Here is an 18,203-nt window from a genome sequence, read left to right on the forward strand (position 1 = left end):
AAGCTTCAGTAACATCAGGATATAAAATATAGAAATTTCAAGTTTTCTAAAAGCATAACATTTTGTAGATATAGTAAGAGTTTTTAATTAAATGTTTTCAAGATTATGACTAAATCCAAAAGCTGTTGGTAGATACCACCCATAATTAAAACCCCCAAGATATAAAAAGGATTTTATTATTACTATCATTACAAAATATTATTTACAAAATGAAAGAGGTGTCTGTTAATTGAGTCAAAGAAATCCAGAACATGATGTACTTGTACAGACGATTCAAAATAGCATCCTCTTGACAAGTTTTTGAGCAGTTTTTATTCCCTTCTGAGTTTTCAAATTGACTAAAACATAAACTGTCGCTTATCTCCCTAGAGTTATGTACTATAGAACAATTTGTCATCTCCAACTTCCCTGTTGGATTAATAAGATATAATTTAGAAACTTGACAAACCATTCCCAACAATACCCGTTTTTAAACAAGTAATATTTTATTGCCCTTCAATTGTAGCACTCTTAACTGTTACTTCAATAAGTAAAACATTTATTGGGCACCCAACTCAAGTACTAAGTTTGGAAAAAATAAAGATGAGAAGATGCAGACCCTTGCCTTCAAAGAATGTAAACTCTAATGAGGGTCGTTAAGAAAAGTGCATGAAAGTGCAATACAAGGCAAAATACAGGAAATGCCATTAGAGAGATTCAGAAAAAGCTCTCCTAGGTGTTGACAGGACCTTAAAGGACTTTTATATTAAACTGACTCCATTTTACAGACGAGATAAGAGTATATACTTACTACAGTTACAAGGTGTTTGCCTCACTTTCCTAAATGTAAATGATGTTCGTAGTCCCCTCTTGCTTAAAGTTAAGTCTCCAACATCACTGGTGATAATTCCACTTTTAAGACTCTCAGATGCTTGAACAGTATCAAATTTTCTGCACGTGATTCTAAAAACAATAGTCAAAAAAATTTACTTAACATTGTATTAATAAAAATATTTCAGGCCTTTAAAAATGTTAAGTGAATAGAGAAAATCTAGAAGAATTTATTACAAATATCTATTGGATTCCCTGAATTGTTAGACATTGTGGAAAAACAAAGAAATAAAGGTATTTAAGGAAATTATCTTCATGACAATAATATTAAAAGAATGTACAACAAATTATTCCATGGGAAAATAAAATAAATATTTAATTAACACCAATTCTAAAAAAAACAAAAAAGAACAGATGATGCCAAGAGGAAACAAATAGATGGTAAATTTAAATTCATTATCAGTAATATATTAAACGTAAAAGTATTAAAAACTCCAATTAAAGAACAAAGATTACTGGACTGGATTTTTAAAAATTAAAAATAACTACATGGTAATTACAAGTCCACAGTTTGGGACTATTACAAATAAAGCTTCTGTGAACATTCTTATACACATCATTTTTGGATATATAGTTTTATTCCTCTTGGGTAACTACCTAGGAGTCAAATTGGTGGGTTTTAACAGGTAATAACGAGTGAAATTGGTGGGTCATAAGGTAAGAAACTTCTAGTTTTCCAAGGTAGTTGTAAAATGTTACACTCCAACCGGCAATATATGAGAGAGTTCCAGGCTAGTTAACATTCTCACCAACACTTGGTATTTTCTGAGTTTTAAATTTTAGCCATTTTAGTGAGTGGCATGTGGTATGAAATTGTGGTTTTAAGTTATTATTTATCTAATGACTAATGATGCTATACATCTTTTCATGTGCTTATTAGACACACATAGATCCTTTTTTGATAAAGGATCTGTCCAACCCTTTTGCCCAATTCCTTGTTAGATACAGATAGATACAGATATAGACGTAAACATAAATAAATAGCAGGTATTTTCTCTCCATGTGTGGCTGCCTTCTCGTTTTCTCAATGGTATCTTTAGATGAGCAGAAGTTTTTAATTTTGATGAGGTCTAATTTATTATTTCTTAATAGTGTGTTATGAAATCTCTCTTTAAAAAAACTTTGGCTACCTCAAGGTCACAAAAACAGTTTTTTATAAAGTTTCTTTTAGACCATTTTACACTTTTTGCTTTCACATTTACATCTATGATCTACCTCACATTAACTTTGTGAATGGTATGAGATAGATTCAGGTTCATTTTATTTCCATATGGATATTCAGTTGTTCCAGCACCATCTGATGAAAAATTTCCTTTCCACATTTAATTACATTGGTATCTTTGGCAAAAATCAACTGACCTTGTATGTATGGAGTTATCTCTGGACTGTATGCTGTCCTCCTGATCTATCTGTCTATCTGTACAACAATACTATTTTGATTATATAGCCATATAGTAAGTCTTAAAAATCAGGCAGAATAAATCCCCTAACATTGTTTCAAGATTGTTTTGACAATCACATTTCCTTATAAATTTTAGAATCGGTTTGTCAATTTTGTCAAAAAAAGAAAAGCCTTCTAGAGTTTTGACTGGAATTACACTGTCTCCATAGATTTTGGGGACAACTGATATATTAACCACATTAAGTTTCCTAGGGATAGCAATAATTTTTCTAGAATTTTCAGTCTATGTGTGTTGCATATCTTTTAAAAACTTATTCCTAAGACTCAGATCTTCTTGATTTACTCCAGGCAAGGTTATCTCTCTATGGAAGTGGGCTTCATATTCGCAGGGAATGTGCTAATCCTGAAGGATCTCAGCAAATTATATAAAAATATAATTTTTTACTTAAGTTGTTGATACCTCTTTACTATAATAACAGCCAGGTGATCTAGAAAGAGAAACGTCGACCTAAGATGGATTTGATCCTAAAATGAAAAACATAATGTATTTCAATTCTCAACTTTCATTTTGTCATTGCCATATTTCACTCCATCTGTTGTAAGAAACAGAATTCTCAGGCTAATTGCTTTTTAAACAACATCTCAATAAATTAATTCTGAGTACTGGAAAGGAAATATTTATGAGTCTTGATGCTATTTTAAATAGCATTTTTATTTCATCTTCTAAAAATTAATTTCTAAATATTGACCTTGTATGTCGCTAAATTCACTTATTAGTTCTGGAACTTGTATTGTAGATTCTCTAGGATTTTCTATATCCACAATAATGTAATCTACAAATAAAGAATTTTACTCCTTCCTTTCAAATATTTATGATTTTTAATTCTTTTTCTTGACTTCTCATACTGGCTAAGATATCCAATATAGCATTAAATAGAAGGAGTATGAGCGGACATCCCTGATTTGTTCAATATCTTTGGAAAAAACGTTCAATAGAATACCATTAAGTATATGATGTCAGCTGTGGGTTTTTCATAAATACCCTTTAACGCAATGAAGAAGTTCCCTTCTTGTCCTAGTTTGCCGGGCTTTATCATGAATGGGTACTAAATTTTGTCAAATATACTTTTTGCATCAATCAAGATGATTATGCTTTTCCTCCTTTATTCCTTTAACGTGATGAATTACATTGATTTTTGAAATGCTAAACCAACTCTGAAATACTGGTATAAACTCCGCTAGGTTATATTTTCTTTTTATGTATATTGCAGGATTTGACTTTCGAATGTTCTGTTATGGGTTTTCTCATCTCTGTTATGAGAGATGTTGGTTTGTAATTTTCTTTTATTTAATGTCTTTCACATGTTTTGGTGTCAAGGGTAATTAATGCCAGCCTCATAAAACAAAGTAGGAGAATGGCTTTTTTATTATTATGATTATTATACTTTAAGTTTTAGGGTACATGTGCACAACGTGCAGGTGGCTCTTTTTAAAAAGCTTGTCTTAAAGGCAATTTTGTAGAGGCAAAAAAAAGCAATCATTGCCCAAATTTACATTACTTTTGTTCTAAGAGCTATACATGATTAAAACTATGGTAGTGAACAAAGTCAAGGTATTTTAGAGGAATAAGTATCTTGAAGCTCTTGTTAGCAAGCTAATTCCTCTTTTGAAGAGTAAATCATTCTCTATTATGGTTCTTTTAAATCAATTACTTCACTTGCCTAAAGTTACACTTTAAGCAAAGGCCAAGGAGTTCCTAACTGCTTTTCCAACAATCTCAAATGTTTAAGAACAGGTAATCCATATGTTAAAGTAATGATTTATTTAAATACTGCTAAACATCTTTTTCCCCCTGCACTCAAATTATAATCAAATTGGGACAATATTCAATAAGAATATAAAAACAGTTTTATAGATTTAAATAATAGTTCAATATAATAGAAGAGACATCTCAAGGTAGTAGGAAACAATACAGACTTTAAAAGTTAAGATAAGGAATAAATTATTTCAAGTTTATGTAGTCAGGAAAACTTGATAAATTATGAAGGAAGTAAAAGAGCTATATGTTAACAGATACAGGGCTGGCAAATGTGTGAAGGTTAGAAGGTACAGGATAAGAGAAAAGGGAGCAAACAAATTTAGCCATAATATCATTGGTAAGAGCACAGATTCTGAAACCAGAGTGCCTGGCTTCTGATCCTGGCTCTGCGACTTACTGCTTCGTGACTTTGTACAAGTTACTTAACTTGTTTATGCTCCAATTTCCTTCAAAAATAAGGACAAAACCATGGAACAAACTTCCCACTATGATTGTGTAAATTAAATGAGTTAATATATGTAAAGTTTTTAGAACAATGCCTGGCACAAGGAAAATGCTCCAGAAATAATTTAAAAGGAGCATTCACATAATCTCATGAAATAATGCTTCCTGGGGCCAGTCAGATGGCATAAATAAATGAAACAGGTGAACTTGTTTAGAAATATATTGTTTATCATAGGATTAATTTTCATTTCAAAAAAGCAGAGTGCTCTGTGCCATTTTTCTTGAAACATACATTCTCATTCAGGCTAGCTTTCCATCTCCTACTTCTTTTTTTTTTGATATGGAGTCTCACTCTGTCACCCAGGCTGGAGTGCAGTGACGCGATCTTGGCTCACTGCAACCTCCGCCTCCCGGGTTCAAGTGATTCTCCTGCCTCAGCCTCCCGAGTAGCTGGGACTACAGGCACACGCCACTATGCCTGGCTAATTTTTGTATTTTTAGTAGAGACGGGGTTTCACCATATTGGCCAGTCTGGTCTCGGACTCCTGACCTGTGATCCACCCGCCTTGGCCTCCCAAAGTGCTAGGATTACAGGCATGAGCCACCGCACCCGGCCCTGTCTCCTACTTTTAATACAGACACGAGTTCAAGAAATACTCAATTTTCATGTAACTCTAAGATAAAAACAATAGTACAAGCACAGTGTTAAATGACAACTGATGCTCAGCCTTAGATCAGGGAGTAACAGAAAGGGGTAGGAACTGTAGGGAACTAGAGAAGTAGGCCCCCACCTAAAGAATGCTAGTGACACACAGTTTCAGGTACTGCTGCCAAGCAATACTAAGGTTCAATGTTATCAGATCTTCTCAATTTTCAAGAGAAGCTGAAAATTCAAATTTTTATGTGAAAACTCCTAATTTTTATATGTAGAAAACTGAAAAAAATAAACTGCCACCATGTGGACAACTATTGCATCAGCCAAATAGAAAATACCTGACTGTTAAGTTTACCCCTATGCTGCCCGTCTTCCACCTTTGATTTAAGGTATGATGGCTAGAATAGTAAATTTGAACTTGAACAAATAAAAGTTAGATTGAGGTATCTGGAATTAAAATTACAAGGCAGTGTTAACTTTTTTCAATCCATGTCCCTCTACAATGCTTTCTAGTGCTTTTGTTTCTTCAGCATAGAAATCAAAAAGTTTTATCAAGGCTTATTTCCTGTTATTTATACATGTTTTAAGTGTATCAAATATGCTTTTCCAATCTATTCTCTTTTCCACCCAAAGATTCTGATAAACATCTCAATGATTGGTGTATCATTGGTTATCTCTCTCTCTCTCTCTTTCTTGCCTCTGGTCTCTTTGCCTCCCTCCCTCCCTCTCTCCCCCATTTCCCCATCTCTCTCTCTTCCTAACACACACACACACACACACACACACACACACACACACACACACACACAGAGTGATGTTACAGGCAATGTGTATCAATGGCAGCCTTCAAAAATAATACTGAGGGTTTTTTCCCCTAAAAATACTGTAGAGAATTCTGATTCCAGAGCGAACATTAAAAATAAATATTACCTATAATCTAACTTTCCAGAGACAACTCTATTAACATTTAATAGCATAACATGCTTTCAGTAAGACAATAATGTGATCAAATGTTGTTTTAGGAAAATTAACCTGTACCATTATCAGAATAGATTAAAATATTTTCACAATATATCCATGAAAAGTAATTTCTTATTTTGTATTTGCTGTAGTAATACTATTACTTTTAAGAAGTTTAAACATTAGTGATAGCAAAAATGCTTGAACCCAGAAAAGAAAATGTCATTATTCTCAGAAGTATAAGAAGACCTGAAATTAATGGATCACATCATCATTTTTTTTTATTTTAAGTGCAAATATTTTAATGGCCATGAAAAAAAAATCACATAAATTTAAGCCCCAGTGCACAAAATCAGGTCATCATTTTTTAATGGCTCACATTTAGGACAGGTTATAAATTCTTTTACATGTTCATTTCCTTGAGTTTTTATAAAAATATGTCAGCTAAAATCTCTAAGCAGAACAGAATTAATAAGTACAGAACTCAGCAGTATTATGAGGGACAGTATATGTAAATTGCAGCAGTGTAATGGTCTCTCCTCAAAAGGCTAGAGATGTATCCCTAGCAGAAGCACATACTAATTTCTTTAGATTTTGATTAAACCAAACAAACTCAAATTGCAAAACATTCTATAACACAACCGGCCTCCTCAAAAGAGTCAATGTTATTAAGAGCAAAGGAAAGTTGAGAAACTCTTTCAAATAAAAGACTAAACAGAATTGACAAGACTTAAACATAATGTGGGATCATAGACTGAATCCTCGATCAGAAAGAATGCTTAAAGCACTATAACATACAACTAGCAATATTTGAATATGGATTGTATAAGAGTATAATAAGAGTATTTTATCAATGTTGAATTTCCTGAATTTGAGCACTGCACTGTGGTTTTATAGAACAGAGCTTGGCCAACTTTTTCTGTAAGGGGCCAGAGAGTGAATATTTCAGGCACTGAGGGCCACACATAGTCTCTGTCAAATATTCTTCATTGTTTTTTTGTCTTACAACCTTTAAAAATGTAAAAACCATTCTTAGCTCAAGAGCTGTACAAAAACAGCCTGAGAGCTGAATGTGGCCCACTAGCCATAGCTTGCCAATCCCTGACATACACAATGTCCTTGTTCTTAGGAAATACACAATGAAGCATGGAAGAGTAAGCCATGATGTCTATAACTTACTCTAAAATGATTCAGTAAAAATAATAATGATAACATATGTGAGAGAGAAATAAAAAATGTCCCAAATATTCAAAATTAGTAAATGAAGGTGAAAGGTGAAGGGAGTTCACTGTACTATGCTTGCAAGTTTGCTATAAATTAAGAATTTTTTCCAAGTAAAAAGGTAATGTTTAACAAAAACGAAACTAGATAGATGCCCCTAGGAGTTCTGAACCCAGAAGCCTCAATCTGCAGGCACAGGGCATGGTCCCCGTGGCTCAAACACAGAAGAATGAGAAGTCTCATAAAGAAAAAGAATCCTGTCATATTTCAATACATACCCATGGGTCCAAAGGTATCTAGATTCTCCTGTCATCACCAGCAAACTCCGACGAGGCAACATAACTGGCACTGCAATGCCATCTGGGTGCTTAAAATCCATGACAATCTTGAAGCAAAGATAAAAGCATAAAGATCAATCCAAAATTTCATATACTCCAAGGATAAGAATGATTAATAGAGTTTGGCTATTTTTCTAGGCTAACAGAGATTAAAACATAATAATGCTTGCAGAAAAGCATAGCACAGTGGTTCTCAAACTTTACTGTACATGAGAATCAACTGAATGACAAAAAAAAGGTATTTCATCCACAGAGATTCAGAATCAGTAGGTCTGGAGTAAGGCTCAGAAATCTCCACATCTAATAATCACCCCAAGAAATTATGAAGCAGGTGGTCTCAGGATCACACCGTAGAAAACAGCAGAGTAGAGGTCAAACACAGGGACTTTGGAGCTGAAACACTCATATCCTGGCTCTTCCATTTATTAGCCACGTGACACAGGACAAGCCATTTAACCCCACTCTGCTTCTCAACTCTTACAGTATTTTACATAAATTATATAGACAATTATAAAGATAATCACAATAACTGGCATACAGTATAATAAATACACAAAAACTAGCTATTGTTTTTATTATTCATAGAATATTAATAATTAATAATCTAAGAAGAAATAAATATTAAATGCACCTTTAAAGTAATGTAACATACTGGGATTAGAGGCTGATTAATAAAGAGACAATCAAAAAAAAAGGAACATTTTCGGCAACTTTTCCTAAGTTATGCTCAAATATTATTCTGAATAGCAACCTATAATGACAAAATATCCAAGAAAATGCTTGTGCCCTAGGAACCCATCAAAAACCAAAGACTTCAGTCTAAAAATAGCAGCAGCTGACAAATATGAACTTAAAAGGCTTACTATAGGGCTGAAAACTATTCTTTTAAGGGAACAAATCAATCCATTTGAAAAATAGATATGACAACCAACTGTAAGTGGGACGAAAATAATTCAGCATAGTACCTTCCTTAAAGGTAAACCTGCATAGTACCTAGTACAAAGTAAGCATTCAATAAATGGTAGCTACTATTACTATTAATAGTAATATTGGATCAAATGAGATAATACACATGAAAATTCTCTGTAAACTATAAAAAAGTATACAGAGCTAAAGTAGTTTTCTTCCTTTCTAACCTATCCTTCCAATCTAAGTATGGAAAATAAAGTCATGTGATAGAGTTTAATTTCCTAACAGTTATCTGTTCCAGATGTCTACATATAATTTCATATAGTCATACCCTGAAAGCATTCGAAACACCGGAGATTAATTCTGAAGTTTTTAGAGATGAAGTGTATTGATACCTGCAACCTTCTTAAAATGTATACATAAAAGATGGACCAATAAACAGATAAAGGGATGAGAAGATGGTTAGATTATTTGGTAAAGCAAGTATATTAAAATATTAATTGTAGAATCTAGCTAGTAGACATATAAGTATTTACTGTACAATTCTTCAACTTTTCTGTATGAAAATATTCATAATTGGCTGAGCGTGGTGGCTCATGCCTGTAATCCCAGCACTTTGGGAGGCCGAGGTGGGCAGACCACTTGAGGTCAGGAGTTTGAGACCAGCCTGGCCAACATGGAGAAACCCTGTCTCTACTACAAATACAAAACATTAGCCGGGCATAGTGGTGGGCACCTGTAATCTCAGCTACTCAGGAGGCTGAGGCAGGGGAATTACTTGAACCCAGGAGGCGGAGGTTGCAGGGAGCTGAGTTCACGCCACTACACTCCAGCCTGGGAAACAGAGCGAGACACCGTCTCACCAAAAAATAAATAAATAAATAAATAAATTCATAATAAATTGTTGGGGGGAAATGGGAAAACCACAGTGGCCTCTTTTTAAACCAATTTATATAGGTTTCAGTTTTGTTAATAGAAGCCAAGGCCCACACCTCGAAAGAATAATGAGCATATTTATTATTAGAGACAATTATCTGTGGCTTAAAGGAAATCCATGCCCAGATATCCAGATGAAAACTGTCATGATGGGAAAATATTCTAGAAGACTAGACTCTAATTTGTTAGACAAATTTTATTAATCGTTTGGTGAGATATCAAAGGCTACAAGAGTGAAGAGAGACAAGCTCTATATCCACCTAGAAGTTACACTTTTTGGCTAATATTGAACATGTTTTACAAAGGCACAATACATACGTATTTGTGAAATTCAAACTTATTCCCTCCCATCAACGGACAGTAGTGATTTTCAAATAGGAAAATTTCAGCTTAAACAAGTGATTAGAACTCACAAGAGATATATGAACATGATATTAGTTAATTTTGAAACACCTGTCCTGGCATATACAAGCCAAGTTTCAAGGAGGAAAAATATACAACCAAATAAGCTAAATGTTTTTCTTTTTCTGTATCAAATTGACCATTCCTCATCTTTTTTTTTTTTCTCAATAGGTTTTTGGGGAACAGGTGGTGTTTGGTTATATGGATAAGTTCTTTAGTGGTGATTTCTGAGATTTTTGGTGCACCCATCACCCGAGCAGTGTACACTGTACCCAATGTGTAGTCCTTTACCCCTCACCCCCGCAACTTTTCCCCAAAGTCCCCAAAGTCCAATGTATCATTCTTATGCCTTTGCATCCTCATAGCTTAGCTCCCACTTATGAGTGAGAACATACAATGTTTGGTTTTCCATTCCTGAGTTATTTCACTTAGAATAATAGTCTCCAGTTCCATCCAGGTTGCTGCGAATGTCATTATTTTGTTCCTTTTTATGGCTGAGTAGTATTCCATTGTCTATATATACCACATTTTCTTTATCCACTCGTTGATTGATGGGCATTTGGGCTGGTTCCATATTTTTGCAAATTGCAAATGGTGCTGCTATAAGCGTGTGTGCAATTATCTTTTTTGTACAATAACTTCTTTTCCTCTGGGTAGATACCTGGGAGTGGGTCTGCTGGATCAAATGGCAGATCTACTTTTAGTTCTTCAAGGAATCTCCACATTGTTTTCCAAAGTGGTTGTACTACTTTACATTCTGACCAATAGTGTAAAAGTGTTCCCTTTTTTACCACATCCCTGCTAACATCTTTTATTTTTTAAATTTTTTTATTATGGTCATTCTCCCAGGAGTAAGGTGGCATTGCATTGTGGTTTTGATTTGCATTTCCCTGATAATTAGTGATGTTGAACATTTTTTCACATGCTTGTTGTCCACTTGTATATTGTCTTTTAAGAATTGTCTATTCATGTCCTTAGCCCATTTTTTGATATGATTGTTTGTTTTTTTCTCACTGATTGAAATTCTTAACTTTATCTTTGAACTTGTGTTAAATGAAGTCTGATGTAACAATGGAGTATGGGCTTAAGCAAGGAGATGCACGCAATATGCTTGTCCACAGTTCCTTGAGGCCCATTTGGGTAATGTGTCCACAATGTCCCATGAACACAGAAAGTGTGAGAGTTCACCGAGACTCAGAGTACACAGTAAGCACTTTATGTCTACCACTGAGTGAGTGAGGGTACACTGACAGCCTAGAGGGTCCTCCAGAACTTGCTTCAAATGTAGAAAGAAGACAATGGTGTTCTAAGAAACACAAGCAATCAAGTGTTAAATTAAATTTAGCCTAAAGTTAGTTGCCTCCTTATAAGTTCAGCCTAAAGGTTCTTCATACATAGTGAACTGTAATCTAACTGGATGTCTAAACAGACTGCTACCTACTATTTTACCAATCACTGAGTTTCACACAATAAAGGTGGCCATCTGTTCAAACCATGTCCACATAAGGCAAACGCCAAGCTGTAACTAATCCAGGTGTTTCTGTACCTCACTTCTGTTTTCTATATGTCACTTTACTTTTTCTGTCCATAAATTCTCTCCAACCACTCGGCAGCACTGGAGTCTCTCTGAACCTATTCTGGTTCAGGGCATTGCCTGATTTATCAATCATTCATTGCATAATTAAACTCAATTAAATTTAACTTGTCTAAAGTAACACAAGGAACCCCACCATCATATCCTTTCTTATTCATGTTACTTCCCTGTGTTAGCCAACTGCTTAACAGTGAAAATGATGATGTAGAAGAATACGGAATGACAGGACAACCTGAAGGCTGAAAGAAAGAGCTCAGAGTAGTGGATTAATGCAATAAGCCAAAAATGAAAGTTGATCACTTATTGTGATATAATAGCATAAACAAAGGTCTAAAACCAGAGGAAGCACCAACTCCCCCCAGTCCCATTTTTCTCCACTGAACACTGCATGACTTGAGGTTGAGGTGGATCATCTTGAATGTGGGGATTGTCTCACTGCTGAGGGAACCCTGAATGAAAGGTTCCAGCAGTGTTATAAACTCAGCGGTAAGGGGAAGGGTGAGTGGGAAAGACTAGGAATTGAAAAGTAGCTAGTACCAAGTCAGAGTAAGGAAAATGTCTTTGAGGTTTCCAACTCCCTCCTCCACAAAAAGGCCTCGGCAGAGGTGCCTGAAGAGGACGTCAGCCAAAGACCTCAGATAAAGAGTTCGAGGAATGAAGGTGTCTAGGCTAGGAATGCAAATAGGCATAAGAGCATAACCAGCCAGGGACGTTTGACCCCTTCATTACAACTCCACTTAGACTGTAATGCACTGGCTGTGCATCAAGTCTACTATGAGGAGGGCAGCTTTTTCCCCCATGAGGCCACCAGGTAAAGCCTTTGTCATCACCTATGGTGAGGCCTGAAAAATCACATAGGGTTTCAGCCTGGAGCCAGACTCCTGAAAATTCATAATTCCATTTCCTTCCAGTCCTTCTAGAAGACAGACAATGTTAGCAGAAGGTGCACAAATCAAGAAGTGAAACAAAAATGGTTATTGTTGGGTTAGTTTTGTGCAGTGTTTCCACTATTCTGGTAAAAATGATCACAAATGAATGTACAAGTACAAAATACAAATTGTTTAAGTTTGGTGATTCCCAATAGCAAAGACATGGAATCAATGTAAATGCCCATCAATGATAGACTAGAACAAGAACATGTGGTACATATACACCATGGAATACTATGCAGCCATAAAAAGGAATGAGATCATGTCCTTTGCAGGGACACAGATGGAGTTGGAAGCCACTATCTTCAGCAAACTAGCACAGGAACAGAAAACCAAATACCACATGTTCTCACTTATAAGTGGTACCTGAATGATGAGAACACATGGACACATTGAGGGGGAACATCACACACTGGGGCCTGTTGGAGGGGGTGGTGGGGGAAGGGAGAGCATCAGGAAGAATAGCTAATAGATGCTGGGCTTAATACCTAGGTGATGGGATGATCTGTGCAGCAAACCACCATGGAACATGTTTATCTATGTAACAAACCTGCACATGTACCCCTGAACTTAAAATAAAAGTTGAAGACAAAAAAAAAAAAAAATTTGGTGATTCCATATGAGTTACATGTTCTTACATTTGCATTTAAAACTAGTGTCACACAATATGAAGACAAATGGTAAAATTCATGCCAATAAATCAAAATTTAGATTTCTTTACACTGATGGCACTAAATAGAAAATAAAAACCACTTTGACAAGATGAGAAAGACCACAGAAGGAAAAGCTTTATACTTTAGTGCCTTTCTGGTCCATTTTCCTATGTTTTGAATAAGGAGTCTATACTTTCATTTGGAATTGGGCCCCACAATTTAGATAGCCGGCCTTGGAAGTTCTGAATTTTTTTTTAATGTTGTCAATCTATTTTATGACTACAAGACACAAAAACACAATTTCTTCATATGCTTACAAAGCCCCCATCTTGATCAGATAAATATTCGCTCCTATTTTATTACAGATTTTCTGTTTTTTTTTACACATTTTATCCTTTATATCTCTGAAACTTATTTTGGCATATAATTTGACAGTATATTTTTTTAAATTTAGATATAATTTTACTTATAAAATTAAATGTAGACTTCCTATGAAAATTACATTTTTCCTACAACATTCCATCATCAAAATAAAGTATTTTCAGTATCATCATATTTAAACTATCTGTACTTTAACTAAATGCTTGTTAAAAGACCACAAAATAAAAAGACTTTAAAAAAATATTCAATCAATAAAGTTCCCCTGAAACTGCTGAATCATTCTGTTATGTGAAAATTTTGCTCCACAGGAGCTTTTTCCAATTATTCTTTTTGTTTTTACCTATTTTCTGAGATGGCAGAGTCAATAAAGATCAAGTGCCCAGCAAGCTTATAGGGCATGACTGAGGATAATGTTCAGTCCTAAGCAAACAAACCCTTAGACATTCTCATCTTATACAACTTTCACACATCCAAAATACAAGAGAACAAAAATGCCAGACACAGTTATCAATCTATCAACGAAGAAAAGTTAACATTCATAACAGAAAAGCACATGAAGGAATAAACAGATCTCCATGTTGGCTAAATAGGATAAAGAAGAATATACGCTACTGGGAACACTTCTGAGAAAGAAGACAAATTTAATCCTGATCCTTAATGGTTAGAAAGAGGCCGAGATGATTAACCTTTTTAGAGAAATCCCTAAAGAATAGCTGGACAGGGGACAATATGATGTGAAAAACGATGTGTGATTCATAGAGAATGATAAAAGCTAAGAGGGCAGAACTTACTATATTTAACTAGAGAAAATATTTCATAGCTGAAAGTTCACCTGTTTCCCACAGTCTACCAAACAGAAATATTCTATAGTTGTGCTAACAATTTCATTTGACCCAAATGAAGTAAGAGTTTCCTTTTTATTTTAAACAGCAAAGAGGAAATTCCACAAAAGGTGATACCCGCAGAAGTACACTTTGCTAAGCTGAAAAGTAACTGGAAGAAAAGCTTGCTGGTATTTTCCAGGGCAGAGGAATTGACAGTAATTTTGCCCTGGAGACACCTTGGAGACTAATGGCTGATGCTAGTGACCTTTAAACCTTCTACCTATGCCATATGGCCTCCTCCTTTAGAATAGGTTAAAATCAAGGCCCACTGGCTAGGTGTGGTGGCTCACGCCTGTAATCCCAGCACTTTGGGAGGCCAAGGTGGGCAGATTACTTGAGGTCAGGAGTTTGAGACCAGCCTGGCCAACATGGTGAAACCCCGTTTCTACTAGAAATACAAAAAATGGCCGGCATGGTGGTGGGCGTCTATAGTCCCAGCTACTTGGGAGGCTGAGGCAAGAGAATCACTTGAACCCAGGAAGTGGAAGTTGCAGTGAGCCAAGATCTCACCGTTGCACTCCAGCCTGGGCAACAGAGCGAGAATCCACCAAAAAAAAACAAAAACAAAAACAAATCTAGGCCCACCACAAACCTGTTTCCCTTCCCTGATTCCTACTGGTAAGGGATGTTTAAAAAACAAAACAACAACAAAAAGCAAAAACAGAAAACAACCCCCACACACAGGAAACTTAAATCCATTGGCTAAATGTCTTGAAAGTTAGAATCCCCAAATTACAAAGTCTTATGAAGCTCGAAGGAAAAGTGGCAATGTCACCAACACATCCTGTAATCAACATACAGGACCTCCCATTTGAAAGTGACTAAAAGAAAACAAGTTCTATTCCCTTGTTCTGAAGCCAGCGGCAATTTCATAAAGTACAAGCCTCAATAATCTGGTCATGAGAGGAGAAAAACTGCACACATGAGCACAGGATGGTGCCCTATGGCATCAAAGAGTGGGCGATGAAGTGTTACGGGCAGCAGCTAAATACCACTGTGGTCCAAAGGCACTTATTTCTCATTGCTACTGAGAGAAAATGAGAGGCAGAACATCGTTTGCCTCTCTGGTGTAGAAGCTTTCCTAGTTATCAGGTACCATGCACACATTTAGGGTATATACATCTGGGAATGTGCCTGCAGTACTGCATATGTGAAATAGGCAAAATTAGATCCAGCAAAAAGTTAAAAAGAAAACACCACAAAAAAATCTATTGTATAGCAAAAGTTGGCAAATTCCACCTTTCAAATACAACCCTGACTTCCAAAACTAGGCCTCAGCTGCTGAACAAATAGATTCTGCCCTCTCTTACTCTTCACCCCCAAATACAGATGGCTTTGAACTGTTTTGTCTAGCTAAGCTCAAGTGTAATGTAAAATAAAAATAAAAGGCATCTTTCTGGCTAACGGTCTAGACACACTGTCAAATGTTACAATACAGAACAAAATATATGTTGCATAACTGGAAAATCAGCTAAAAAAGAAAATGCTAAATTGGAGACACTTTAGCCACCATTGCACATCCAATATTATAAATGCTTAGCTTAAATGCCTAACAGATAATATATTATGTTGATGTGTTTACACTGAGACCACTTGCTTTGAGCTCTCACTTATATACCATGGCTTCATTTATTTGCTTCATTTGTTTGCAGGAACTATGAAGTGAAATCCACCAACATTCAAAAATGGGCTCACAAACCACTTCGATAAAATTAAGTTTTACTTTACATATGAAAAGGTTATAGAAGAAATAAAATATTTTAGCTTAAAAAATATTTTAAATTGTATCTTTGTTTACTTGTTACAGTCTGTCTAGTAAATTATATTCAACAAATATTTTTGAATGAATGAATGAATTCATCATAAATAATGTATTTTTACAAATAGGGTGGTGTATATTTTATATTTGTACAGAAGACTTCCTAAATTCTATTTGTTTATTTTCTGGGCTTTCCTCCTTAAGCAAAGTAAACCATCAGATTCACAAAGAACCAAAATGAGACAGCTAGAGTAATAAGAACAACAGTCATGGGTATATCTATTCCTGAGGCCCTAGATTGCTCCCCATGAGGAAAAGTTCACTTAATATAGCATCTACCACAGTCTCTAGCACAGAATAGTTAGCTGTTGGCGATAATGATCATGGCAATGGTAGTGCTGATGGTCAAAGGAGTAAAAGCCATAGTAGCTACTATTCATATTACTAACTGTGTATCAACTCCTGATGACAATTAAAATGCAAGTATTACATGTCAACTTCAATTTAAGACAGAAAGCACCGAAATTGTCTCCATAGTCAATTAAAAGTTACTAATAGGGATAAGCTAAAACCCAAGTCCCCCAACTAGTCCAGTATTTAATTCAGCCCTGGTACAAACATCCCAGGATCTGAAACCAATACACATAGTCTTTAACTTCTTCAGTTTCTAGTATTGCACTGGAATATTTAATTGAATGATGATTAGAACTACCATTGGGGGCCTATATTAATTTCTATTTATTCTTTGTCTTAAAGAACAAAGCTAAAATCCCACTGTCCTTGGAGTTGATACTACACAGCTTTAGCATTTCAGCATTTTCTAACTCAATGGTATAAAATCTAGCTAAATAACAAAATCACCTGTGAGCTTTCTATAAATGTAGAAAGCCAGCCTCCATATCAGACATTCTGAATCAGAATAAGACACAGTACCTGCTCTGGAAAAAGATAGCCTAGCAGGGGAAACAGAAAAAAATCACAGGGACCTCAAATATTCAAATATCAGAAACAGGCTATAAAACAAAGATGCTTACCATGTTTAAAGATATAAATGCTAAGCTTGAACATTTCAGCAGGGAACAGAAACGATAAAAAAGAGACCCTGTAGATATAAAGAAAAACCAGACATTCTAAAACAGAAAAATGCCGTAACTGAAATTAGGATATCAATGAATGAGCTTAACAGCATATTAACACAGCAAAATAAAGAATTAGTGACAGAAGAAACTATTTAGAGTAAAGCATGGAGAGACAAAAGATAGAAAACACAGAAGACAGGATAAGTAAAATAAAAAATGTAGAAAAAAGGTAAATGAAGAAAGAATGGGGGCAGGGGCAAAATCTACAGAGGCAATTACTAAGCATTTTCCAAAATTGATGGAAAAACTCAATCTACAGATTCAAGAAACCTGGTAATTCCCAAGCAGAATAAACAAGCCAATCAAAATAAGCAGAATAAGCAGGATCATAAAAATAAAACAAAAGATAAAAGCAAAAAATCTTAAAAGAACCTAGAGAAATAAACAAAAGTCACCCTCAAATGTAACAAGAGCAATAACATAAGCCACAAAAAAGTAGATGAAATCTTTAGTGCATGAGGAAAAATTAGTGCATGAGGAAGCTTGTGGGAATGATGGATATGTTCATTATCTTGAGTGTGGTGAAGGTTTCATGAGCTTTTTATTAAGTATGTGCAGTGCTTGGGACGTCAGTTATATCTCCACAAAGCAGTTTTTAACAGAAAACATGGGATGCAATAAAGCGGTACTTAAAAGCAAAATTTATAATCATTGAAATACATTTCAAGAATATTTGACACCAACCAGGTGCAATGGTTCATGCCTGTAATCCCAGCACCTTGGGATGCCAAGGTAGGGCAGACTGCTTGAGCCCAGGAATTCAAGACCAGCTTGGGCAACAGGGCAAAACCCCGTTTCTACAAAAAATACAAAAATTAGCTGGGCATGGTAGCTCGTGCCTGCAGTACCTGCTACTAGGATGGCTAAGGTGGGAGGGTTGCTTGAGACTGGGAGGTCGAGGCCGCAGT

General features: G+C 35.4%; 1 protein-coding gene across 12 annotated transcripts in view; it reads right to left on the reverse strand.

Moving 5' to 3' along the window:
* The window catches only part of ALKBH8 (alkB homolog 8, tRNA methyltransferase), a 63,009-nt gene that overhangs the window by 21,924 nt on the left and 22,882 nt on the right, over positions 1-18,203 (reverse strand). For 11 of the 12 annotated variants that reach the window (NR_165422.1, NR_165424.1, NR_165425.1 and 8 more), the window contains 2 exons: positions 7,650-7,756; positions 791-942 (listed from right to left, as the gene is read on the reverse strand). Coding sequence is in view for 6 of the 12 variants with exons in the window: in NM_001378133.1 (NP_001365062.1) it covers positions 791-942; positions 7,650-7,756 (259 nt within the window). In the remaining 6 variants the exon portion in view is untranslated. Of the gene's footprint in view, positions 1-786; positions 943-7,649; positions 7,757-18,203 lie in introns of all 12 variants that reach the window. The other variant, NR_165426.1, reaches the window with a different exon arrangement.

The sequence above is a fragment of the Homo sapiens genome, chromosome 11 (genome assembly GCF_000001405.40).
Source record: "Homo sapiens chromosome 11, GRCh38.p14 Primary Assembly".
Taxonomy (NCBI): Eukaryota; Metazoa; Chordata; class Mammalia; order Primates; family Hominidae; genus Homo; species Homo sapiens.